The sequence below is a fragment of the Homo sapiens genome, chromosome 14 (genome assembly GCF_000001405.40).
Source record: "Homo sapiens chromosome 14, GRCh38.p14 Primary Assembly".
Taxonomy (NCBI): Eukaryota; Metazoa; Chordata; class Mammalia; order Primates; family Hominidae; genus Homo; species Homo sapiens.
This window is the reverse complement of record NC_000014.9, coordinates 73,144,759-73,170,506: the sequence shown is the minus strand read 5'-3', so window position 1 is coordinate 73,170,506 and position 25,748 is coordinate 73,144,759. Positions and strand designations below refer to the sequence as shown.

The 25,748-nt window shown below is 41.5% G+C and overlaps 1 protein-coding gene across 10 annotated transcripts in view, besides 2 other annotated features; it reads right to left on the bottom strand.

Moving 5' to 3' along the window:
- PSEN1 (presenilin 1) overlaps positions 1 to 25,748 on the bottom strand; it is an 87,275-nt gene that overhangs the window by 53,185 nt on the left and 8,342 nt on the right. For 5 of the 10 annotated variants that reach the window (XM_047431602.1, XM_011536974.3, XM_011536973.3 and 2 more), the window contains exons 2-3: positions 22,631 to 22,712; positions 22,413 to 22,540 (exon numbers count right to left, since the gene is read on the bottom strand). In XM_047431602.1, the coding sequence (XP_047287558.1) occupies positions 22,413 to 22,487 (75 nt within the window). In that variant the 5' untranslated portion in view covers positions 22,488 to 22,540; positions 22,631 to 22,712. Of the gene's footprint in view, positions 1 to 22,400; positions 22,541 to 22,630; positions 22,713 to 25,748 lie in introns of all 10 variants that reach the window. The other 5 variants (XM_047431601.1, XM_047431600.1, XM_011536972.3 and 2 more) reach the window with 1 other exon arrangement.
- Positions 254 to 1,190: an enhancer, noted in NCBI's record as "H3K4me1 hESC enhancer chr14:73636025-73636961 (GRCh37/hg19 assembly coordinates)". NCBI's record gives its function as "activates a minimal SCP1, AML or CMV promoter by ChIP-STARR-seq in primed H9 embryonic stem cells {active_cell/tissue: H9 hESC(primed)}" and the evidence as "EXISTENCE:reporter gene assay evidence [ECO:0000049][PMID:30033119]".
- Positions 1,191 to 2,127: an enhancer, noted in NCBI's record as "H3K4me1 hESC enhancer chr14:73635088-73636024 (GRCh37/hg19 assembly coordinates)". NCBI's record gives its function as "activates a minimal SCP1, AML or CMV promoter by ChIP-STARR-seq in naive H9 embryonic stem cells {active_cell/tissue: H9 hESC(naive)}" and the evidence as "EXISTENCE:reporter gene assay evidence [ECO:0000049][PMID:30033119]".

Here is a 25,748-nt window from a genome sequence, read left to right as displayed (position 1 = left end):
CTGCATGAAAACTTGTTTACTGGCTGCAGCTCCAAGCACCTTTTTCAAATTCAGCTTTCTGTGATTTCAGACCACATATGCAAGGAACTATCTTACCTTAATTAATAAGACTTTAAAATCCTTGTGTCAGAGGCGTTTGGACCAGAGCAACTCTATCTTGAATAGGGGCTGGGTAAAATAAGGCCAAGACCTACTGGGCTGCATTTGCAGGAGGTTAGGTACTCTTAGTTACGGGATGAGATAGGAAGTCAGCACAAGATACAGCTCATAAAGATCTTGCTGATAAAACTGGTTGCAATAAAGAAGCTGGCCAAAACCCACCAAAACCAAGATGGTGAGGAGAGTGACCTCTGGTTATCCTCACTGCTCACTATACGCTAATTATAATACATTAGCATGCTAAAAGACACTCCCCGCCAACACCATGACAGTTTACAGATGCCATGGCAACGTCCGGAAGTTACCTTGTATGGTCTAAAAAGGGGAGGGATCCTCAGTTCCGGGAATTGCCCACCTCTTTCCCAGAAAACTCATGAATAATCCACCCCTTGTTTAGCATATAATCAAGTAACAGGCCAGGCGCCTGAAATCCCAGCACTTTGGGAGGCCAAGGTGGGCAGATCACTTGAGGTCAGGAGTTTGAGACCAGCCTGGCCAACATGGTGAAACCCCGTCTCTACTAAAAATATAAAAATTAGTCGGGCATGGTGGCACATGCCTGTAATCCCAGCTACTCATGAGGCTACGGCAGGAGAATCACCTGAACCTGGGTGGTGGAGGCTGCAGTGAGCAGAGATCGTGCCACTATGGGTGACAAAGCAAGGCTCAAAAAAAAAAAAAAATTGGTAAGGTTGAATAAGTGACACAATCAGATGTTTCGTTTTTAGCAAACTTGATTGAGTGGCAATGAATGAGATTTCTAGCATAAGGAACTAGCATTGGTAGAGATAAGGAACACAATGGAACACAATAAGATAAACAGGCTGGAAGAGAGAAGTACTTTAGTTAGAGATATAACCAGGCAGTTAAGTCCAATGGCAGTTACCAATAGGAATTTCAAGCTCAGAAGAGTCAGAGGAAGTCACTGGTCTCTATAGCCTCAGAAATGGATGAAATCTCAGGCCTCAGAAATGGATGAAATAGCTGTGGAGGGAAAAATACAGTAAAAAGATGACCAAGGAGAGAAGTGTAAATAACCCCTAAGCTTAACCAGCAGGTGATGGGAGAAAACCAGAAAACGAGATTAAGAGAATAGAGGAGAAGGAAGAAAACTCAGGAATCAATATGACACAGAAGCCAAAAGTGGAGCACAAATCAGAGGTGTTATCAACAGTCTGGCAGGATGAGAGCTAAAAAGACCCTGAATTGACAATGGGAAGTTCATCAAGGGTTTTACAAAAGTAAAACAGTGAAGAGGGAAGTCGGATTGAGATGAGACTGGATAATTCCCTTGACCCCCTCATGGCTCGGAGCGTGGCTCGTTTACTCGGCCACCACACACTCAAACCCCTTGCAAGAGGCAGTGTGCAAGCGAGTGAGTGAGTGTGGGAATCAGAGCAAACGAATGCGGGAACCAGCCAGTTGCTCCTCTCTGGCAGGCGCAGGCTCTATGCGGCCCCGCAGCAGCATCCAAGTGTGTTACAATCAATGCTCCTTCAACGCGGCCATTCGGGGATGGCCAGGTGCCAGCCAGCTCAGTGGAGGGTCAGGGTGGCAGCCCCTGCCCTCTCCTCTTGGCACCCAGGTTCTCTTCCAGTGTCCAGGAATAATCAGATCACATGAACAGATTGAAGGGTAGTATATGCAGAAGATTGTATTGCACGATGGAAGTGGTTCTCAGCAGAATGGGGAGTTGAAAAAGGGATGGTATGGGAAGAAGGTGATCTTTCCCTGAAGCCAGGCCATCTCCGGCTGGGCCTATTCTCCAAAGCTGCACCATCTGAAGTTAGCCACGTCCCATCCATAGTCTCCAACGCTCACCTGATTCTCTGCTCGCTGCTCAGCCACTTGTATCACCAACACTCAGTGGCTTGTATTTCCGACAATCAGCTGCTTGTATTCCCAACACACAGCCATTTATATCCCTGACGTCAGCTGCTTATATTGTTCTCCCAGCTGCTGAAATCTTTTTTGTTTTTGTTTTTTTTTTTTTGAGACAGAGTCTCACTCGGTTGCCCAGGCTGGAGTGCACTGGCACAATCTGGGCTCACTGTAACCTCCGCCGCCCAGGTTCAAGCAATTCTCCTGCCTCATCCTCCCAAGTAGCTGGGATTATGGTGCCCACCACCATGCCCAACTAATTTTTGTATTTTTAGTAGAGATACGGTTTTGCCATGTTGGCCAGGCTGGTCTTGAACTCCTGACCCCAGGTGATCCACCTGCCTCGGTCTCCCAAAGTGCTGGGATTATAGGAGTGAGCCACCGCACCCAGCCCAGCTGAAATATTTTTATGAGCACAGGATAGGGGCATGGCAGGCCAAAGAGGCAACATTTGGGTGGGAAAAAAAATGGGGTTAGCTGTTTTCACTTAGGGTTGCAGTTCCAGGTTTAAGGGTGGAATTTAGCCAGGAGCCCAGCCCTTCTGTATCAAGGTCATAAAATCATAATGTGCTGGAAAATAACTGAGAACTGAGAAGGTAAAGGCAATCATTCTTCGAAGCAAAAAAAAAAAAAAAAAAGGTGGAAGAGGCTTGCAATAGAGAGTGATTTAACTTGAAAAACTTTTCTTATCCAACCCCACCAGAAATGAAGACAAAAAAAAAAACAGAAAACGTTATTTTAGAGCTGTTAGAGACTTGAGCATACCTATCATGTCACAGTGTAGACTGAAGATTAGAGGAAGAGACAAAGTGGGGATTAAAACTAATGGAATAGGGTAAGGGATAAAGGAGGGTGCTATAGTTTGAATGATCCCCCTAAAAATTCATGTACTGGAAACCTGGTTGCCATTGTGGTAGTATCAAGAGGTGAGGCCTTTAGGAGGTGACTGGGTCATGAGGACTCTGCCTTCATGAATGGATTAAAGGTTCAGTATCCTTTATCTGAAATGTTTGGGACCAGAAGTGTTTCAGATTTTGCATTTTGGAATATTTCCATTATACTTACAGGTTGAACATACCAAATCTAAAAATCCAAAATCTAAAACACTCCAATAAGCATTTCCTTTGAGCATCACATTGATACTCAGAAAGCTTCAGATTTGGGAGCACTTTGAATTTCAGACTTTCAAATCAGGGATACTGAACCTGCAATGTCGTTATCACAGGAGTAGGTTAGTTATCATGGGAGTGACTTTGTTACAAAAGCAAGCTCTCTCTTGCCGTTCTGTCTATCCACCATGGCATAATCAGGTGCTGCTGGTACCATATACTCTTGGGCTTTCCAGCCTCAAGAACCATGAGCTGAATAAACAAATCACCCAGTCTCAAAACAACAACAACAATGAAAAGAATTTCAAAAGATACAAAAAAGAAGAAAACAAATGACAACAACAAAATAAATAAATAAATAAATCACCCAGTCTGCGGTATTCTGTTATAGCAATACAAAAGGAACTAAGACAGAGGGGAACAAAAAAAAGACCGAGGCTGGCGTTATAAAGGCATGGTGTGCTTTCCTTCAGTCTGGAGGTCAGGATTTCTCTTCAAACAGTTATGAAGATCCAAACCCTATGAGAAATGGAAAGGAAACTATTCTAAAGCATAAAAGGTAGAAATATATATACCACCCATCAAGAAAGATTATTTTTGCTGAACTCAAGTCACCAGAGTGGCTAAAGCCCAGTAGAATGGAAATGATTATATGGAAGGTGAGGCCAACGGGACCAGAACATACTGTGATAGACAGCAAGGAGCTGTCTATCTTCTATTCTTCCACAGAAGGAGGTGACTAAGTCATCTGCCAAGAATGTTATATCTGCAATTGATGTTCAGCAGTACAAGTCTGAACAACTTGATTGGCTGATTAATGTTCACAATAAACATACAAGTAATAATAGCTATCTCTATATAGTATTTGGTATTTACAAGGCACTGTCACATTATCTCATTTATTCTTTTTGTCTTGAGAAGTTTTGGTAAATGAACACAAAAGCAACTGATCCAAAAATCTCACAACCAGAAAACAGCAGAGGTAGGAATCAAACTAAAGTCTCTTGCCTCAAAACTTGTTTTCTTTCTATGGCACCACAGCCATCCTTTTAGGTCATATGAACAGTTTAATTAGCTAAGTCTAGCATGAAAGGGGCAATCATATGCTCATTCAGAGTCCCCAACTGGATGATCTGGTTTATAATGAACATTAGCCAACTCAACCCTGCCCTGCCCAAGGCTGATAATGAGATGGATACTAGAACACTGTTTAACTTAACAGTAACATACACATTCACAAACTCTTCCTCTTTGTAGTACGCTGGATACTACTTTTATTTTTATTTTATTATTATTATTATTATTATTTTGGAGACAGAGTCTCATTCTGTCGCCTAGTAGTGGCACAATCTTGGCTCACTGCAACCTCTGCCTCTCAGGTTCAAGCAATTCTCCCGCGTCAGCCTCCCGAGGAGCTGGGATTATCGGCATCCACCACTGCGCCGGCTTAATGTTTGTATTTTTAGTAGAGACAGGGTTTCACCATGTTGGCCAGGCTGGTCTCGAACTCCTGACCTCATGATCCGCCCACCTTGGCCTCACAAAATGCTGGGATTACAGGCGTGAGCCACCGCGCCCGGCCACACACTACCTTTTTTTTTTTTTTTTTAAGACGGAGTTTCACTCTTGTTGCCCAGGCTGGAGTGCAATGGTGCGATCTCGGCTCACCACAGCCTCTGCTTCCTAGGTTCAAGCAATTCTCCTGCCTCAGCCTCCTGAGTAGCTGGGATTACAGGCATGCGCCACCATGCCTGGCTAATTTTTTGTATTTTTAGTAGAGATGGAGTCTTATCCATGTTGGTCAGGCTGGTCTCGAACTCCTGACCTCAGGTGATCCGCCCACCTCGGCCTCCCAAAGTGCTGGGATTGAAGGCGTGAGCCACTGCGCCCAGCCCAGACACTACCTTCAAAACTGATTATGTTTTCAGGAATAGTGGCACATACCTATAGTCCCAGGTACTCAGGAGGCTAACGCAGGAGAATCGTTTGAGCCTAGGAATTCGTTTGAGCCAGAATCGTTTGAGCCAGGGAATGTAGTGAGACACCATCTTTAAGGAAAAAAATACTGTTTTAATTTCTTTATTTAAAAAAAGCACAGTTTGGGCCGGGCGTGGTGGCTCATGCCTGTAATCCCAGCACTCTGGGAGGCTGAGGCGGGCGGATCACCCGAGGTCAGGAGTTCAAGACCAGCCTGGCCAACATGGTGAAACCCTGTCTCTATTAAAAATACAAAAATTAGCCAGTGTGGTGGCGGGCACCTGTAATCTCAGCTACTTGGGAGGCTGAGGCAGGCGAATCGTTTGAACCCGGGAAGCAGAGGTTGCAGTGAGCCAAGATCGTGCCACTGTACTCCAACCTGGGTGACAGAATGAGACTCCGTCTCAAAAAAAAACAAAAAAAAGTACAATTTTGTGACAGAAGTGTTGGTTAGAGACAAAAATGGCAGATTCACTGGCTGTCCAGATTTAATTTATGAATGAACATATATATATATGAAAATAAAAGAAGCAAGTTCCTAAAGTATTGCATAGGGTACTCCAACTAATCAGAAGACTATGGCTGAATCACTACATTTTATGGGTGAAATCATAGTGTGTGAAATTTGGAATTTAAAAGTCTCTAACTTATGTTATCATATCTTGGGTTTACCCCAGTGACACTGTATTATATAGTGGTAATTAGCCCAAGTTCTGGGGTCAGACTACCAGGATTTAGATTTCTCTTCTATATAGTGTGATTTGGGGCGAGTTATTTAACCTCTTTGAACTTCAGTGTCTTCATCTGTAAAATGGTGATAAAAAAAGTATCTCCTGATAGGGTTGTTGTAAATTCTACTGGGATAGTACTTCAAAGACGTATCTCACGGTGTCTGGCACATATTAAGCATTCAGTAGTTTTACCATTTATTCTACATATACATATTCCTATGGCTATTAGCAGGTGCCAAGGTATAACTGATCTCCTCTTAGGGTATTGTCCAGATGAAACTGCATATAAAATTCCAGACATTTTTAGTCTATCAATAGAAAATCGTCGGCACTATGGAATTAGAAAATTCTGTCTCCCAAATGTTGATCTCCATCTCTGACCTCTCCTAGAACTCTATTCTAAGCTTCTCCTCTGTCTTCTCCATTTATCTCAATAAACAGCAGCACCATTCTCCCAGTTTCTAGGAAGTCCCGAATCTAGGAATTATTCTTGATTCTTTTCCTTAGTACCTCTGTCTAGTCAGCCAGCAAATTCTGCCAGAATACCTCCAAAACATCTCCTGGATCTATCTGCTTCTTTCTATGTCCATAATCTTTGTGGTTCAAACCACTATTATCTATCATTTGGATTACTGTTAATAGGCTTCCAATTGGTCTTTCTGCTTTTATGCTCCCCTAGTCCATTCTCCACACTACAGCCAGGATGATTTTTTTTTTTTAAACAAAATGAGATCATGTCATTCCTTTGTTTAAAACTCGATTACAATGGCTTCTTGTCATGCTCATAACAAAATCAAAACTTCTTAGGCTCATGAAGTCTAAAATGGTTTGGTCCTTGCTCTGACCACAAACTGTTCCTCCTCTCTCCATTCCTTTTCTCAAACTGGCCTTCTAGTTCCCCGCTCAGGGCTGGTTCATCTGGAATGCCCTTCTCCCACCTGACTGTTCCTTGTCACTCAGTTCCCTCCTGGTAGAGAGAGAATTTCCTGACTATCGAATGTAAGGAAGCCTTTCTCTACGTTGATCTGGTTTTAATTCTCTGAAGTGTACTTGTGATTATTTGATGTAGCTCCTGTTTGTCACTTGACTATTCTTAGAATATAAGTTTTCTCTAAGACAGCACATGTTATTGACCTTTGCTGGATCTCTAGTGTCTCCTGTACTCTATAAATATTTGTTGAGTTAATTAATGAATGACTCCTGTAAGATTGTTTGTGAAGCTCGGCTAATTTTTTGTAGAGACAAAGTTTCACCATGTTGCCCAAGCTGGTCTTGAACTTCTGGGCTCAAGCAATCCTCCTGCCTTGGCCTCCCGAAGTGCTGGGATTACAGGCATGAGCCATCGAGTCCAGCCATCTTGTACTTTTAGATTGCAGTTTTGGGTTTCAGAGATTTGTAGTTCACTGAAAATGAAGCACCATGTAGGTGTGCCTGGGAGGGAATTTTGCTAAGAATTCTTACTAAATAAAGTTCAATCAATCAAATGTTATTGTACTTCAAAAATTTTCCAGGGAAATCAATTGTCGGCTTCCATTTAAAGACTGTATTCTGTCTAAATGTGCTGTTAAAGTAAAATGTGACATAAGAATCTACAGATGATAATCGAAAGGAAATAAAAATAGAGCTCTTCAAAAAAAGTACAATTTATTTGTTTAAAAGCAGGCAAAGCAAAAATTAAAAATAAATAAATACATAGGTAAAACATTCACATGGTCTCAAAGAAAGTATTAAAAGGTATAGAGTACAAAAGCTCCCTCTTAATATATACCTAGTTTCCTAATCCCCCTGCTTACTACTGTTATTTGGTGAATCCTTTCAAAGTTTCTTTCTACATATGCAAGCAAATACAAACACATACTCTTACTCCCCCTTTTCACACAAATGGTAGTACAGTAAATGCACCATGCAGCATTTTGTTTTCTCCACTTAACTATGTATCTTAGAGATTTTTCTACACATCAGTACATAAAGAATATCCTCATTCTTCTTATCTTTGAGACAGATTCTCTGTCACTAGGCTGCAGTGCAGTGGCATAGTCAACAGCTTACCACAGCGTTGACCTCCTAGGCTCAAGCAATCCTCCCACCTCAGCCTCCTGAGCAGCTGAGACTGCAGATACGTGCTCTCTCTCTCACTCAATCGCTTGTTCGCGTGCTCTCTCTCTCTCTCTCTCTCCTTCTCATGGAGAGAGAGAGAGAGAGCGCGCGAGCGAGCGAGAGAGAGAACGAGAGCATGCCAAATTGCCCTCCCTGTGGATTGCACCAATTTAGAGAATCAGCAATGCAAGAGATTGCCTACTTTACCACACTGTTGCTAACACCTTATGTTAGCAAGTGCTTAGATTTTTACCAATCTGATGGGAGAAATATGGAATCTTGGCATAAATTTAATATCTATTTCTCTTATTATCAGGATGGTTGAGTGCTTTTTCATTTATGTCCTTTTTCTATTTAACTTTTTTTTTTTTTTGAGATGGAGTTTTGCTCCTGTTGCCCAGGCTGGAGTGCAGTGGCGCAATCTTGGCTCACTGCAACCTTGGCCTCCCAGGTTAGAGTGATTCTCCTGCCTCAGTCTCCCGAGTAGCTGGGATTACAGGCACTTATCACCACACCTGGTTTGGTTTCTTTTTCTATTTTTTTTTTTTTTTTTTTTTTTTAGTGGAAACGGGGTTTCGCCATGTTAGCCAGGCTGGTCTCAAACTCCTGACCTCAGGTGATCCGCCCGCCTCAGCCTCCCAAAGTGCTGGGATTACAGGCGTGAGCCACTGCGCCCGGCCTATAAACAGCCACTGCGCTGTTTACATGAGGCATTGGGTCATGCCAACAAGTTTCCGCTAATAATGTGATCTACGGTGAGGGCCTTGTGTCACACAGTATCAGCTTGGCCTCTGAAGGGGCCAGAGAACTGAGGTCAGCCATGTGTGACCCGGACACCAAGGCTCAGCCAGCTTCCCTGGTTGCCAATATTCCACGTGTGTTGTCATACACTGTTGCTGGAAAAATTAAGCACTGTGTGCACAACTCCACTGGGAGAGGACTATTGACAGCTTGAGCCTGGGGTGTCTCCTGGACCCTGCCCTATGTGTCTTTTTCTGTTGCTAAATTTAATCCATATCATTTCAATGTACTAAACTATAATTTGAGTATAAAACATTCTCTGAGTTGAGTCTTTCTAGCAAATTACTGAACCTGAGGGTTGTCTTACAGATCCCCAAATATCCTGTACAATGAAACTTACAAAATATTGCTAAGAGAAATTAAAGAACAAAAACAAAAATAGACAAATGGGCCTACACCAAATTTCTACACACCACAGGAAGCAGTCATCAGAGTGAAAAGGCAACCTACAGAACTGGAGAAAATATCTGCAAATCAGGCTGGGTGTGGTAGCTCACATCTACAACCCCAGCAGTTTGGGAGGCTAAGGCAGGTGGATTGCTTGAGCCTGGGAGTTCAAGGCCAGCCTGGGCAACATGGTGAAACTCCGTCTCTACAAAAAATACAAAAATTAGGTGGGTATGGTGGCGAGTGCCTATAGTTCCAGCTACTCAGGAGGCTGAGGTGGAAGGACTGCTTGAGCCTGGGAGGCGGAAGTTGCAGTGAGCCCAGATTACATCACTACTTTACTCCAGCCTGGGTGACACAGTAAAACCTTGTATCGAAAAAAAAAAAAAAAAAAAGCAAATCATATATCTGGTAAGAGATTAATATCCAGAATACATTAAAAAGTCCTACAATAGCATGAACCCGGCAGGTGGAGCTTGCAGTGAGCCAAGATCGCGCCACTGCATTCCAGGATGGGCGACAGAGCGAGACTCCATCTCAAAAAAAAAAAAAAAAAAAAAAGTCCTACAATTAAACAATTGGAAAAAAACAAATCATCAGATTTTTTTAGATGGGCAAAGGACTTGAACAGATATTTCTTCAAAGAAGATATACAAATAGCCAACAAGCACATGAAAAGATGCTCTACATCTGTGTAATATGGGGGGAAAAAAGAAAAGATGCTCAACATCACTAATCATTAGAAAAATGCAAAAAAAAACTACACCCGTTAGGATGGCCACTACCAAAAAACAGAAAGTAACAAGCGGTGGTAAAGTTGTGAAGAAATTGGAACCACTATGCATTGTTGGTGGGAATGTAAAATGGTGCAGCCACCATGGAAAACAATATGGAGGTTCCTCAAAAAATTAAACTACCATATGACCCAGCAATCCCATTTATATAAATACCAATGAGTATATATAAAAACGAACTGAATTACAAACAAGACCTCAAACAGATATGTGCATAGCCACTTTCACCATAGCATTATTCAGTATAGCCACGAAGTGGAAGTAACCCAAATGTCTACTCACAGATATGTGGTATATACATAACACAGAATATTATTCAGCCCTTAAAAAGGAAATCTTGTCACATGCTACAATATAGATGAACCTTGAGGACATTATGCTAAGCAAAATAAGCAAGTCACTAAAAGAGAAATAATGTATGATTCCACTTACATGAAATATCTAGCCAGCTGGGCATGATGGCTCACACCCATAATCTCTGTATTTTGGGAGGCCAAAGTGGGAGGATTACTTGAGCCCAGGAGTTTGAGATCAGCCTGGCCAATATGGCGAGAACTCGTCTCTACAAAAAAATTAAAAAATTAGCGAGGCATGATAGAGTGCACCTGTAGTTCCAGTTACTCAGGAGGCTGAGGTGGGAAGACAGCTTGAGCCCAGGAGGTGAAGGCTGCCATGAGCCAAGATCATGCCACTGCACTCTAGCCTGGGCAACGGAGTGAGATCTTGTCATCAAAAAAAAGAAAAAAACTCAAGTAGTCCATGTTATAGAAACAGAAAGCATATTGCCACGGGCTGAGAGAAATGGAAAATGGGGAGTTGTTCAATGGGTATAAAGTTGTCCAATGAGTATAGAGTTTCAGTTTTTCAAATTCAAAAGCCTCCCCATGAGAACAGCCTTTGACCCATGACTGATGGAACAGATTGACACATATATGGACAACTGATTTTTGCAAAGGTACAAAGGCACTTCAGTGGAGAAAATAGTCTTTTTTAAAAAACAGTGCTGAAACAATTGAATATCCATATGCAGAAAAATGAACTTTGATCCATACCTTGGACCACGTATAACAATCAACTTCAAAAGGATCACAGACCTAATGTAAAACATGAAACTATAAAGCTTCCAGAAGAAAATGCAGGAAAAAACTCCTGAGAACTTGAAGTAGGCCAAAGTTTCTTAAGATGTGACACCAAAAACACAATCAATGAAATACAAACGGAATTAGCTGGGTGCAGTGGCACACATCTGTAGTCCTAGCTGTTTGGAAGAATGAGGCAGAAGAATTCTTTGAGCTCAGGAGTTTGAGGCTGCAGTGAGCTATAATCACACCACTATACTCCAGCCTGGGTGACAGGGCAAGACTCTGTCTCTTTAAAAAAAAAAAAAAAAATCTGCCCTTCAAAAAGCACTGTTAATAAAAAGAAAAGCCACAGTCTGGGAGAAAACACTTGCAAATTATATATATTACAGAGGACTTGTATCCAGACTATGTAAATAATTCTTAAAATCCATTAAGAAAGCAATTTTTAAATGGGCAAGAGATTTGAACAGACAAGTCACCAAAGATATCAGGATGACAAGCACATGAAAAGAAACTCAACATCATTACTCAATAGAGAAATGTAAATTAAAACCAAAATGAGATGTAACTATATACCTTTTTATAAGAGCTAAAAAATTTAAAAGACTGACAGTATCAAGTACTGACAGGATGTGGAGGAACTGGAACTCATACTGCTGGTAGAAATGTAAAATTATACAACCAGTTTGGAAAGTTCTTTGGTAGTACCTTAAAAAGTTAAATATAAGGCTGGGCATAGAGGCTCATGCCTATAATCCCAGCACTTTGGGAAGCCAAGGCGGGAGGATCACTTGAGGCCTGGAGTTCAAGATCAGCCTGTGAAACATAGGAAGACTCCATCTTCTATAAAAAATATAAATAAAAACTGGCCAGGTGTGATGGCTCACGCCTGTAATCCCAACACTTTGGGGGGCCGAGGCAGATCACTTGAGATCAGTAGTTCAAGACCAGCCTGGCCAACATGAAGAAACCTAGCCTCTACTACAAATACAAAAATTAGCTGGGTGTGGTGGCAGGCGCCTGTAATCCCAGCTACTGGGGAGGCTGGGACAGGAGAATCACTTGAACCCAGGAGGCAGAGGTTGCAGTGAGCCAAGATCATGCCACTGCACTCCAGCCTTTGCTCCAGATGGAGCAAAACTCCGTCTTAAAAATAGATAGATAGATAGATAGATAGATAGATAGATAGATAGATAGATAGATAGAAAAAAAAGTTAAATATACACCTACCATATTGGATCATATTCTACTCCTAGGTATTTGCCCAAGATAAATTAAAGCATATGCCCATACAAAGAAAGATCTGTACATGAATATCCGTAACAGCCACTATCTGTAATGCTTCAGAACTGAAAATCCAAATATCTACCAACAAGTAAATAGATCAAAAACTGTGGTATACAACTCAGCAATAAAAAGGAACCACATAACATGGACGAATTTCAAAATAATTATGCTGAAAGAAAGAAGCCAGACAAGAGTCTGTATGTTTTGTTTTTTTTTTAGACAGAGACTCACTCTGTTGCCCAGGCTGGAGTGCAGTGGCACAATCTCAGCTCACTGCAACCTCTGCCTCCTGGGTTCAAGCAATCCTCATGTCTCAGCCTCCTGAGGAGCTGAGATTACAGGTGCACGCCACCACCCCTGGCTAATTTTTGCATTTTTAATAGAGAAGGGGTTTCATGTTGGCCAGGTGGCCTCAAGTCATCGCCCACCTCGACCTCCCAAAGTGCTGGGATTACAGGCATGAGCCACCGTGCCCGGCCTGTATGATACTATTTATATAAAATAGTATCATAATAGTAAATGGCTGCGCGCGGTGACAAAACATGGTTGCCTGGGGATGGGGAGGAATCAGGGAGGAGAAGGAGAGATTACAACAAAACATGAAGAAACTTCTGGAGGTAATGGACATTTTCATTATTTTAACTGTGGTGGTGGTTTCAAGAGTATACATATATATCAAAACATCACACTGTATACTTTAAGTATGTACATTTTACGTCAATTATACCACAATAAAGCTGTTTTTAAAAATGTATCTTTCTTGGGCTGGGCGTGGTGACTCACGCCTGTAATCCCAGCACTTTGGGAGATCGAGGCAGGCGGATCATCTGAAGTCAGAAGTTTGAGCCCAGCCTGGCCAACACGGTGAAACCCCATCTGTACTTAAAAAAAAAAAAGTATACAAAAAAATTAGCTGGGTGTGGTGGTGCGTGCCTGTAATCCCAGCTACTCAGGAGGCTGAGGCAGGAGAATCGCTTGAACCCAGGAGGCAGACGTTGCAGTGAGCCAAGATCATGCCACTGCACTCCAGCCTGGGCAACAAAAGAGTGAAACTCCCTCGCAAAAAAAAAAAAAGGTATCTTTCTCAAGGGAGTGTGTAGGTGCTTTGAAAAGTGTCAAATGAGAGGAAAGTGGTACTAGAATACTGAGGGATTTCCGAAAGGAAAAATCTTGGTAGCTAAATATGAGAATGATGACTTAAGCATGCATGGTATTACCTGTAAGACCATTTTAAAAAAAAGGCCAGGCGTGGTGGCTCATGCCTGTAATCCCAGCACTTTGGGAGTCCCAGGCGGGCGGATCACAAGGTCAGGAGATCGAGATCATCCTGGCTAACACAGTGAAACCCCATCTCTACTAAAATTACAAAAAATTAGCTGGGCATGGTGGCGGACGCCTGTAGTCGCAGCTACTCTGGAGGCTGAGGCAGGAGAATGGCGTGAACCTGGGAGGCGGAGCTTGCAGTGAGCCGAGATCATGCCACTGCACTCCAGCCTGGGTGACAGAGCAAGACTCCATCTCAAAAAAAAAAACAAACAAAACTTTTTATTATGGAAAAAGTTCAAACAAATACTGTCAGAAATGTACAATGAAGCCCATGTGCAATTTATTCAACTTCAATAATTATGAACTCATGCTAATCTTGTTTCATCTACTCCCCCGCTCACTTTGCCACTCCAGTATTATTTTGAGGCAAATCTTAGATATATCATTTCCTTCATAAATATTTTAGTATGTATTTCTAAAAGATAGGAACTTGAAGCCTTTTGCATTTGTGGCTTGATAGCTCTTTTCTTTCAAAATATTATTTTTATTTATATTATTTATTTTATTATTATTATTTTTTGAGACCGAGTCTGGCTGTGTTGCCCAGGCTGGAGTGCAGTGGCATGATCACTGCTCACTGCAACTTCCACTTCACAGGCTCAAGTCATCCTCCGACCTCAGCCTCCCAAGTACCTGGGACTATAGGCACATGCCACCACACCCAGTTAATTACTATTAGTATTATTTACTTTTTTTTTTATTTCATAGAGATGGGGTTTCACCATGTTGCCCAGGCTGGTCTCAAACTCCTGAACTCAAGTGATCCACCCGCCTCAGCCTTCCAAAGTGCTAGGATTACAAGTATGAGCCACCAAGCCATAAAATATTTTTAAATGCAAACTTAGATCCACAGCAAAACTGAGCAGAAAGTACACAGAGTTCCCACATAACCCCTCCAACAGCCTCTATCAACATCCTGCACCACTGTGGTAAACCGTTACAACAGATGAACCTACATTGACAGTCCACAGTTTACCTTAGGGTTCACTTTTTGGTGTTATACAGTCTATGGGTTTGTATAAACAGATAATGACAGGTTTCCATGATTACAGTATCATACAGAATAGATTCACTGCCCTAAAAAATCTGTATGCTTCAGGAGGCCGAGACGGGAGAATCGCTTGAGCCCAGGAGTTCAAGACCGGCCTGGGCAACATAACGAGACCCCAGCTCTACAAAAAAAGTGAAACTAACAGCAAAAAAAATTAGCCAGGCATGGTGGCACACACCTGTACTCCCAGCTATTCACAAGGCTGAGATGGGAGAATCACTTGAGCCCAGGACTTACAGGCTGCACTGAGCTATGATCACACCACTATACTCCAGCCTGGGTGATAGAAGGAGACCCTGTCTCAAAAAAAAAATAATAATGATAATATATATTTGATTCTATGCTAGACATATAAATATACCTCATTCTTAAATATGGCAATTTTGATAAGAAATGTTAATATTTATTGAACAAGTATGTGCTAGGTAGTGTACTAATCATTCAGTTTATCTCATTTAATTTAAATAAAACTCTAAGTTAATTGCTATAAACTTCATTTAACAGATAAAGAAACTGAAGTTTAGCGAGGCCAGTTAATTTGCCAAAGATCATAATGCTAAGAAGTTCTAGAATGGAGATTCAAAGTCCAACTGTTTAGTCAAGAGACCCTACTGTTAACTAGTACCTTTACACTACTAACTGGGTAAACCATAAGCAATTAATGATAAAGATTGAGATTACTGCCACATTCTCACTGTTATAAATAAAACTTCAATAAAAATTCTTGGCACTTCTATGGTAATATTTTTATAGGATAAACTTTCAGAAGTGAAATGCTAGGTGAGATCAGATTAGGTTAGATTTAATTGCTAAATTATTTCCAAAAGGCATGTGTATCTGTAGATTCAATTAAGAGCTTGCCTCCAAATAAATACTAACTTAACTCCAAAGAACACAGCATACAAGAAAGCCTATTTCCCTACAACCTCAGCAGCAGTGTATCAATTTTAACTCACTGATAGGTAAGAAGTGAAGTTTTAATTTTTATCCCTATTAGTAAGGCTGATCAACTAGGCTTTTCATATATTTATTGCCATTTCTATTTCTTACTCCATAAATATTGCTTGTAACCTTTGCTACTGAGTTAAGTTGTTCATGTTCCTTTTAATTTCATAAGAATTCTATGTATATTGGGATATATCTGTCATATATTTCAAGCCTTTGTCCTAGTTTGTTTTGGACTTTGTTCATGGCAGTTTTTGCCACACATTTTTTTCTTTTTTTGAGGCAGGGTCTCACTTTGCTGCCCAGGTTGAAGTGCAGTGGCATGATTACAGCTCACTGCAGCCTCGACCTCCTAGTCTCAAGCAATCCTCCTGCCTCAGCTTCCCAAGTAGCTGGGACCATAGAAGCACACTACCACACCCCACTAATTTTCACTTTTTTTTTTGTAGAGACAAGATCGTGCTATGTTACCCAAGCTAGTCTCAAACTCCTGGCCTCAAGGGATCCTCCTGCCTCAGCCTCCCAAAGTACTAGGAATACAGACATGAGCCACCACACCTAGCTCTGCAATTAAGTTTATAATTGTGTGTAGTTGAATATGAATTTAGGTAATTTTATAAAGAAAACAGAAACTTATTTTTACGACACCCCAAATGCTAACGTTTTTCAATATATACACACAGGTATACATAGTTGTGTTTACAAATATTATATTCTGCCCTTTTCCCTTAATATTTCATGCACGCATGTAAGCAGTTAACATGCCTACGTGGTTATAATGTATTCAATTATGCTGATATATTTATAGTCTGAATATTTACTTAAAATACATTTTTTCAATAATTAATATTTGTAAGAAAATGTATTGGCAGGCACGGTGGTTCATGCCTGTAATCCCAACACTTTGAGAGGCCTAGGTGGTCAGATCACTTGAGGTCAGGAGTTCGAGACCAGCCTGACCAACATGGTGAAACCCCATCTCTATCTAAAATACTAAAATTAGCCAGGTGTGGTGGCACAACCCTGTTAATCCCAACTACTCGGGAGACTAAGGCAGGAGAATCGCTTGAACCTGGGAGGCAGAGGCTGCAGTGAGCCGAGATCGCACAACTGAACTCCAGCCTGGGCGACAGAGGGAGGCTCCGTTTCAAAAAAAAAAAAAAAAGGAAAGAAAATGTATTAATCCTTTAAGACTTAATGGGCAAAAAAAAAAAAAATGACTTAATGGATATTGTTTGAATTTCTACAATGACAAATGTGGGGCTCTAAGCCTGCTCTGTAGGACAGGACTAGAAGAGTGGCTTAACCAAAGAACTGGCAAGTTAAGTGGAAAACTTGAAAACATTTATTAATCATAGGGAACATGCTTCCAACAACACACATAATTCCATTCAGCATCTGACCAAGCTTTGTGATTCCCTGGAGTCAGAGGTTTAACCATTCCTCTAATGCCAAGAAAGGCTGTCATTTCCACAAACAGTTGACATAACTGGTTAGAGATAATACTGAACACTTATGGGGCTGTTATGTTAGGCTTAAGCCTAAAGTTTCTTAACATATTATTAATATTTGTGCCTAAGAGATTTTACTCATGCAAAAGCTAGCATGTTTCTCTGGAGGTCGTTGAGATTTCAAGTTCTTTTTTGCCTTACTCCACTTTAACACAACTGAGAAAACAAATTCATAACTATAATGATACAACAACACTGTCAAAGGCTAACCAGAGCTGCAGATTCTATTTAAATTTAGATCACCCATTTCATTTATTTTTTTTCTCCTCAAGGTCCTTTAAATAGCTCATAGGTTTGCTTTTTGTCTATGTATTTATTTGAGACAGGGTATCACTTTGTCACCTAGGCTGGAGTACAATGGTGTGATCTTGGCTGAATGCAGCTTTGACCTCCCAGGTGAACCTTGAAACCAATCCTCTTGCTTCAGCCTCCCAGGTAGCTGGGATTACAAGGGCGCACCACCACACCTGGCTAATTTTTGTATTTTTAATAGAGACAGGGTTTCACCGTGATGGCCAGGCTGGTCTGGAACTCCTGGCCTCAAGTAATCCACCCACCTTGGCCTCCCAAAGTGCTGGGATTACAGGCGTGAGCCACCATGCCCAGCGAATATTTCTTTTTTCAAATGGAGACTAAGAAACATAACTGAAGCTATTATTGATGACAAGGGCATAATATAAACTCCAATTACCAATAAGAACATAAGAATGCTCTCAAAGATCTCATGCTACCGAGCTTTTGTGGGTTTTTTTTTTCTTTTTTTGAGACAGCCTCACTCTGTCACACTGCACTGGGGTGCAGTGGCACAATCTCAGCTCACTGCAACCTCTGAGTCCTGGGTTCAAGCAATTCTCGTGCTTCAGTCTCCTGAGTAGCTGGGACTACAGGTACATGCCACCACACCCATTGACTTTTTTTTTTTTTTTTTCTTAGTAGAAATGGGGTTTCACCATGTTGGCCAGGCTGGTCTCAAACTCCTGACCACCTGCCTCGGCCTCCCAAAGTGCTGGGATTACATGTGTGAGCCACCATGCCTGGCCTTTTTTGGTTTCTTTTGTATCAGCTGTTCTAACTCCATGACTTTAGTCAGTCATCACAGAAAACCTCGAATGCTTGATCCCTTTCCAGAGATATTCCTCAGGTAGCATACTATTCTTTTGTGACCTTTCCTCACATTAAAAAATATAAAAAAACTTTGGGAGGCCGAGACGGGCGAATCACGAGGTCAGGAGATCCGAGACCATCCTGGCTAACACGGTGAAACCCCGCCTCTATGAAAAATACAAAAAATTAGCCAGGCATGGTGGCGGGCGCCTGTAGTCCCAGCTACTTGGGAGGCTGAGGCAGGAGAATGGCGTGAACCCGGGATGCAGAACTTGCAGTGAGCCGAGATCGTGCCACTGCACTCCAGCCTGGGCAACAGAGCGAGACTCCGTCTCAAAAAAAAAAAAAAAAAAAAAAAAAAAAAAAAAAATATATATATATATATAAAATATTTTAGGTTGGGCGCAGTAGCTCACACCTGTAATCCCAGCACTTTGGGAGGCCAAGACATGTGGATCACTTGAGCTCAGGAGTTCAGGACCAGACTGTGCAACACGGTGAAACCTCATTTCTGCCAAAAATACAAGAAATTAGCCAGGTGTGGTGGCATGAGCCTGTGGTCCCAGCTACTTGGGAGGCTGAGGTGGCAGGATCACTTGAGACCACCCTGGTCTCAAGGAGGTCGAGGTTGCAGTGAGTTTAGATTGCACCACTGCACTCCAGCTTTGGTGACAGCGTGAGATTACTTTTTCAAAATAGCTTTTTAAATTATTAAATAACTGTATTATAGAACATTTAGAAAATGAAAGGGGGAAATCACCAAGATCACCCATGCTTTTCTTCTCTTATTTTTCTGAGATAGATGTAATACAGCCGTGAACCACCATGCCTGGCCTGCAATATACACTTTGGAAGAATCCTAGCAATCTCTAAAATAGTTCTAAGATCCATATATCCAATCACAGCAACTATCTTTGAGAAACTCACACAAGTGCACACAGACTAATGAATTAGTATGTCACTGCAGCACTGTCAGTTATTGTGAAAAACTGGAACCTACCAAATGTTTGTAAACAGAATTATTTTTATATATTCACAAGAGAAAACAAATGCTAGAGCTACATGCATCTACATATACATGAATGCCCAAAATTCTACATAGGAATGTCTCTTTTGCAACATATACTAACATATATGTGGAAATTCTCTTCAACTTTCAGACATAAACCACATAAAGTTTTTTTTTGTTTTTTTTTTTAGATGGAGTCTCACTCTGTCGCCCAGGCTGGAGTGCAGTGGTGCAATCTCGGCTCACTGCAAGCTCCGCCTCCCAGGTTCATGCCATTCTCCTGCCTCAGCCTCCCAAGTAGCTGGGACTACAGGCGCGTGTCACCACGCCCAGCTAATTTTTGTATTTTTTTAGTAGAGACGGGGTTTCACCATGTTGACCAGGATGGTCTGTCTCTTGACCTCGTGATCCGCCCTCCTCGGCCTCCCAAAGTGTTGGGATTACAGGCGTGAGCCACCGCACCTGGCTTTTTTTTTTTTTTTTTTTTTTTTGAGACAGAGTCTTACTCTGTTGCCCAAGCTGGAGTGCAGTGGTGCAATCTTGGCTCACTGCAACCTCCACCTCCAGAGTTCAAGCAATTCTCTGCCTCAGTTTCTGGAGTAGCTGGGATTACAGGTGCCTGCCATCACGCCTGGCTAAATTTTGCATTTTTTTTTAGTAGAGACAGGGTTTCACCATGTTGGCCAGGCTGGTCTTGAACTCCTGACCTTGTGATCCACCAGCCTCGGCCTCCCAAATTGCTGGGATTACAGGCGTGAGCCACCACACCCAGCCTAAAGTTTTAAAACATGCCAAGTGTATTACATAATGCGATACGATTTATGTACATAAATATTATAGTAAGCCTAATACTCAATTTTATTAAACATGGTAAATACCCAATTCAGGACAGTAACTATCCTGAGAAAAGAGGAAAAAGAATGGGGGAGGAGCACTTCAATTTTATCTGCAATTTTTTGTCATATAACTAGTCTCTTTTCAAATTAAATGCAAAATCTTGTTTTGTTTAGTTAGGATTTCATTTAGTGTAGGATCAATAAGCAATAGAAGCAAAAAAAGCTTATCAAAAAAACAGCAAATAAGATGTTAAGGTTTAATAAAGCTGGGTGATAGGTACATGGGTGCCTATTACATTATGTGCCATACTTTCTGTATGTGCTAGAAACATTTCACAACAAAAACTTGAGAAATAAATATTTGGGCTAAAAAAACAAACACAACTTCAGCTCTCTGACTATTCTGTCATCAAACTTCAAATCCCTTTACTATGAATGAGATTATGCACAGCAGCCCACAAAAGGAAAACTATTTTCCAGGCTATAGCAGCTCGTCACAGTATTTGCTTAGAGTTGAAGAAATGAAGCTAAAGGCAAGATTTAACCTTTGGAATGAGAAATGCTTTAGATGTTATCTTCTATTTGAACTATAACAATATAGAACTGTAATAGTACTCGAAGTTAAACAACAATGTCAACTAATTGAATAAGACTTGGTTAGTCAGATCCAAAATTATTTCAATTTGATTATACTCTGGTAGACAACTGACTTGATCCTACTGCTCAGGACTGTCCCAATTTTAAAACTGAAAGTCCTGTGTTCTAGAACCTCTAGTTTTAAACAAACCTGGACAACTGCCCATCCTAGCTTCTGGGCACATCAAAACTTCCCAGCTGGGAAAGAATTTTCAAATTATCTAGTAAATTACCTAATTTTACTGATGGGAAAAGTGAAGAATCCTAAATCTTCAGAGTGTAAAAGGAAGTTCCACGCCATTCAGTGCTCTAGTTCAACTGCGGAATTCACGGACTAATCCTCTACAGATCTTGCTGGAGTGGCCTTTCAGCCTTTTGTGACTGTTTGTAGTGAAATGTACACACAAGCCTACAAGGCAGCCCAGATGTACCATAACTGTGGGAAAATTAAAAAAAAAAAAACACAGAACCTCTCTATGTTGCCCATGCTGGACTCAAACTCTTAGACAAGCAATCCTCGTACCTCAGCCTCCTGAGTTCCTGAGTAGCTGGGACTACAAGCATGCACCACCATGCCAGGCTATGAGAAAGTTCTTTTTATTGATCCAGACCTTATTGCCTGGTAACTTCCACCACTGTTCCTAGCTCTGCTCTCTGGTCCTAACAGAGGAAAATCTGACCCCACACCTAGTGCAACTGGATAGCTTATAGTTGGCCTTGTGTTTTCCTCTATTCTGGGTCCACCTCTAAAAATCCTATAGATACTCCAACTGTCTCACAGGACATCCATGCTCTCTCTCTTTTCTTTTCTTTCTTTTTCTCTATTTATTTATTGTTTATTTATTTATTTTTGAGATGGAGTTTCGCTCGTCGCCCAGGCTGGAGTGCAATGGCGCGACGTCAGCTCACTGTAACCTCCACCTCCTGGGTTCCAGCGATTCTCCTGGCTCAGCCTCCTGAGTAGCTGGGATTACAGGCACCTGCCACCAAGCCCGGCTAATTTTTGTATTGTTAGTAGAGATGGGGTTTCTCCATGTTGGCCAAGCTGGTATTGAACTCCTAACCTCAGGTGATCTGCCCGCCTCAGCCTCCCAAAGTGCTGGGATTACAGGCATGAGCCACCGTGCCTGGCCTCTGCTCTCACTTTATGATGATTAGCTAGTAGAGTTGCAGTCAAATTTCATGTCTGTGTATGTAGCTGGTGAGGAATCTCTTTGTCCGACAGCACAGATTACGTTCTTTTCCTGAATCCCTCCTTTGAACCCTTAGAACTTCTACACTTATCCTTGCATTGTACAATCATAATGAATATTTACTGAGCACTAAAAGGAACTGTTAGGTAATGAATACAGTAAATAAAATGGACTCAGCCGTAGAAGAATAAGAGCAAGATAGGTAAAATAATAAACAACATGAACTATGAGGCGCTGCACACCTTGGGAAGCTGGAGAAGGCTTCAACTGAGGTGGTGATATGTGAATTAGGTAGGAACTGTATCAACACCTATGTGTTAAACAGCCCTGTGTCCTCCAGCAATCAGCTGAAGTTCACCAAATATATTATAAATGTGGTAAAGTAGAGAAAGCCTGCCTAGCCCCCTCAGCATTTCTCAGAGGTGAGGGGAGATGATAAGTGAATCCAGTCTGGCAAAGGCAGTTTCAGAGACTGACACTGTACCTGGCTACGTACAGTATTGCTCAGGTGGTTGTCCTCAGACATCTGTGCATTCTGGAAGTAGGACAACGGTGCAGGTAACTCTGTCATTGGAGCAACTGTATAGAAATACTGTTTCACAGAAAACAAAGCCTCTTGAGGTTCTGAAAAGGGAAAGAAAAACAGAACTTTGTGCACTACAATTATACTGTTATAAAAAACACTTTCATAGATTACATTAAGCAGAAACAAACCTTTCTTTCATGTGTTCTCCTCCAGGCCAAGCTGTCTAAGGACCGCAAAGGCTGTTGTCACTTGCAGGCTCCCAGATTAGGTCTGAAATAGGATTTCACCAGGTCATCCATTGTTAGTTAAATCCTAGTAAATTCATTTAAACCAATCAAATACTTATAAGACCAATTTGTAAACCAGGAATGTATTAATTTGTCACGACTTTCAACTAACTGACAAATTTACTATAAGCTCAAGGTAGACCTCTTTAGCAATAAGTAGAACCGCCTGAGACACCAAACATTTTCAACCACAAAGATACTTAATGACTTCTGATTTCCAGCAAAGGGAGCTGAGTAATCTTAAGGAATGTTCTCAACATTCCTTTTTCTATGCTGACCAAATTCAACCTAATCTTTATATTTTCATAAAATCATTTGTCTAGCGCTTTTAATTTTGCAAAATTCTATAATGTCATCTTATCCTTATCACAATGCCCAAGGCAGGACGGACAGATAACATGCTTATTTTACAAAAGGAGAAGGGAATCCAGAGAAGTTCAGTGACTTGCTTAAGATGACACAACTGGGTAGAGCTGGCAAGAAATCGCAGACTCAGCCAGGAGCGGTGGCTCATGCCTGTAATCCCAGCACTTTGGGAGGCCAAGGCGGGCGGATCACGAGGTCAGGAGTTCGAAACCAGCCTGACCAACATGGCGAAACCCCATCTCTACTAAAAATACAAAAATTAGCCGGGTGTGGTGGCGCGCATCTGTAATCCCAGCTACTCAGGAGGCTGAGGCAGGAGAAAAGCTTGAACCCAGGAGGTGGAGGTTGCAGAAAAAAAAAAAAAAAAGAATGGCTGACTCCTGACTCCCAGCCTCAGACCTCTCCTTTGATCTTGGCGCAGCCTTATTTACAGGGATGACTGTGTCTCTCAGAGTTCACCCTCCTAGGGGGGCCACATTCCCATTTGCCTGTCTACCTTAATTTCCATCAGCCAATTCTTTATGATTTCAACTCTTCCTTTTCACAGAAGGTTTTCAGAAATATAGAAGGCAAAAATCCGTGTACATACCTAACGCTAATTAATACATTACCATATACACATTTACATAAAAAAATTTTCTCAATGTCCTATTTCATTTTCACTTTTAACATCAGGATACTCTTTCCTCTAAATATTCCATTTTTTTTCTTCTAATGATTTTTCATCAAAAATGCATAAAGTAATTTTTCCTCCAGCAAAGGTATCAAGTTCAAAATAACCCTTAACTACTTATATTTGTATCATTCAAATCATTACACATTTTTAACCAAGGTGACATTCCACTTTATCATACATGCTTTTATGTACCATGTCCATCTTTCTCCTCCCCTCACCTTCAGCCCATTGTCAGCTAGCATGAGATCAGCGAAATGCAAATTCATATTAATTGAAAACAGTGCAAATTTGCTTAAAAAATAAAGAGCTTAAGGCCAGGAGTTGCAGATCAGTCTCCAGCCTGGGCAACATAGGAAAACACTATCTCTACAAAAAAATAATTAGCTGGGTGCAGGTGGGATGCATCTGTAGTCCCAAATGCTCAGGAGGCTGAGGTGGGGGGATGGCTTGAGTCCAGGAATTAGAGGCTGCAGTGAGCCAAGATCTCGTCACTGTACTCAGCCTGGGCAACAGAGTGAGACTCTGTTTTTAAAAAAAAAAAAAAAAAAAAAGATTTTTTAAAACTAGATTTTTGTGGGAATTTAACCTATACTTAAGAGTTATCGATACCTTTGTTCCTGTCTTTATTTTGAGACACAGTCTTGCTCTGTCACCCAGGCTGCAATGTAGTGGCACGATCTCGCTCACTGGAACCTCTAACTCCTGGGTTTAAGTAATTTTCGTGTCTCAGCCCCCCGAATAACTGGGATTACAGGTGTGCACCACCATGTCCAGCTAATTTTTGTATTTTTAGTAGAGACTGGGTTTCACCATGTTGGCCAGGCTGGTCTCAAACTCCTGACCACAAGTGATCCACCCACCTCAGCCTCCCAAAGTGCTAGGATTACAGGTGTGAGCCACCACGAACCAGCCCTGTTCCTGTCTTTTAATATGGACAAAATTAAGATTTCACAATACAGACGGTCCCTGATGACAGTTCAGTTTAGAACTGTTCAGCTTTAGTATGATGCAAAAACAATATGTATTCAATACAAACTGTACTTTTTGAGTATCCATACAAGTTCACTTTCAGTGAAGTAGTCAATAAATTGCATGAGGCCGGGCTCGGTGGCTCATGCCTGTAATCCCAGCACTGTGGGAGGCTGAGATGGGTGTTACTACTTGAGGCCAGGAGTTCGTGACTAGCCTGGCCAACATGGTGAAACCCTGTTTCTACTAAAAATACAAAAAAAATTGGCTGGGTGTGGGTGGTGGGTGCCTGTGGTTCCAGCTACTCAGGAGGCTGAGGTGGAAGGATCACTGGAGCCAAGAAAGTCAAAGCTGCAGTGAGCAGTGACTGCATCACTACACTCCAGCCTGAGTGACAGAGTGAGACCCTGTCTCAAAAAAACAAATAATAAAATAATAAAAGTACACTCCATTATGGAAAAACCCATAGAACTCTCATATAATCCCTCAGAAGCAAAGCAAGTAAACAAGACAGTCTTAGCCAAATGAAACAAGGCAAAGAAAGGGTAATGCAAGCAAAAATAAAAGGTAAGTAGGCCGGACGCAGTGGCTCATGCCTGTAATCCCAGCACTATGGGAGGCTGAGGCACACAGATCATTTGAGGCCAGGAGTTCGAGACCAGCCTGGCCAACATGGTGAAGCCCTGTCCATACTAAATATACAAAAATTAGCTGGGCATGGTAGCTCGTGCCTGTAATCCCAGCTACTAAGGAGGCTGAGGCAGGAGAATCGCTTGAACCTGGGAGGTGGAGGTTGCAGTGAAGCAAGATTGCGCCACTGCACCGCAGCCTGGGTGACAGAGCAAGACTGCATCTCAAAAAATAAAATAAAATAAATAAATGGTATATAAATAAACTATATTATGCTTATAGGTTAAATATGAGCAGAAGTGATTACCACGCACTAAACAAGATTAGTATAATCTTACACAATAAATTTAGTAGAGATACTATTAAATAATAAGAATG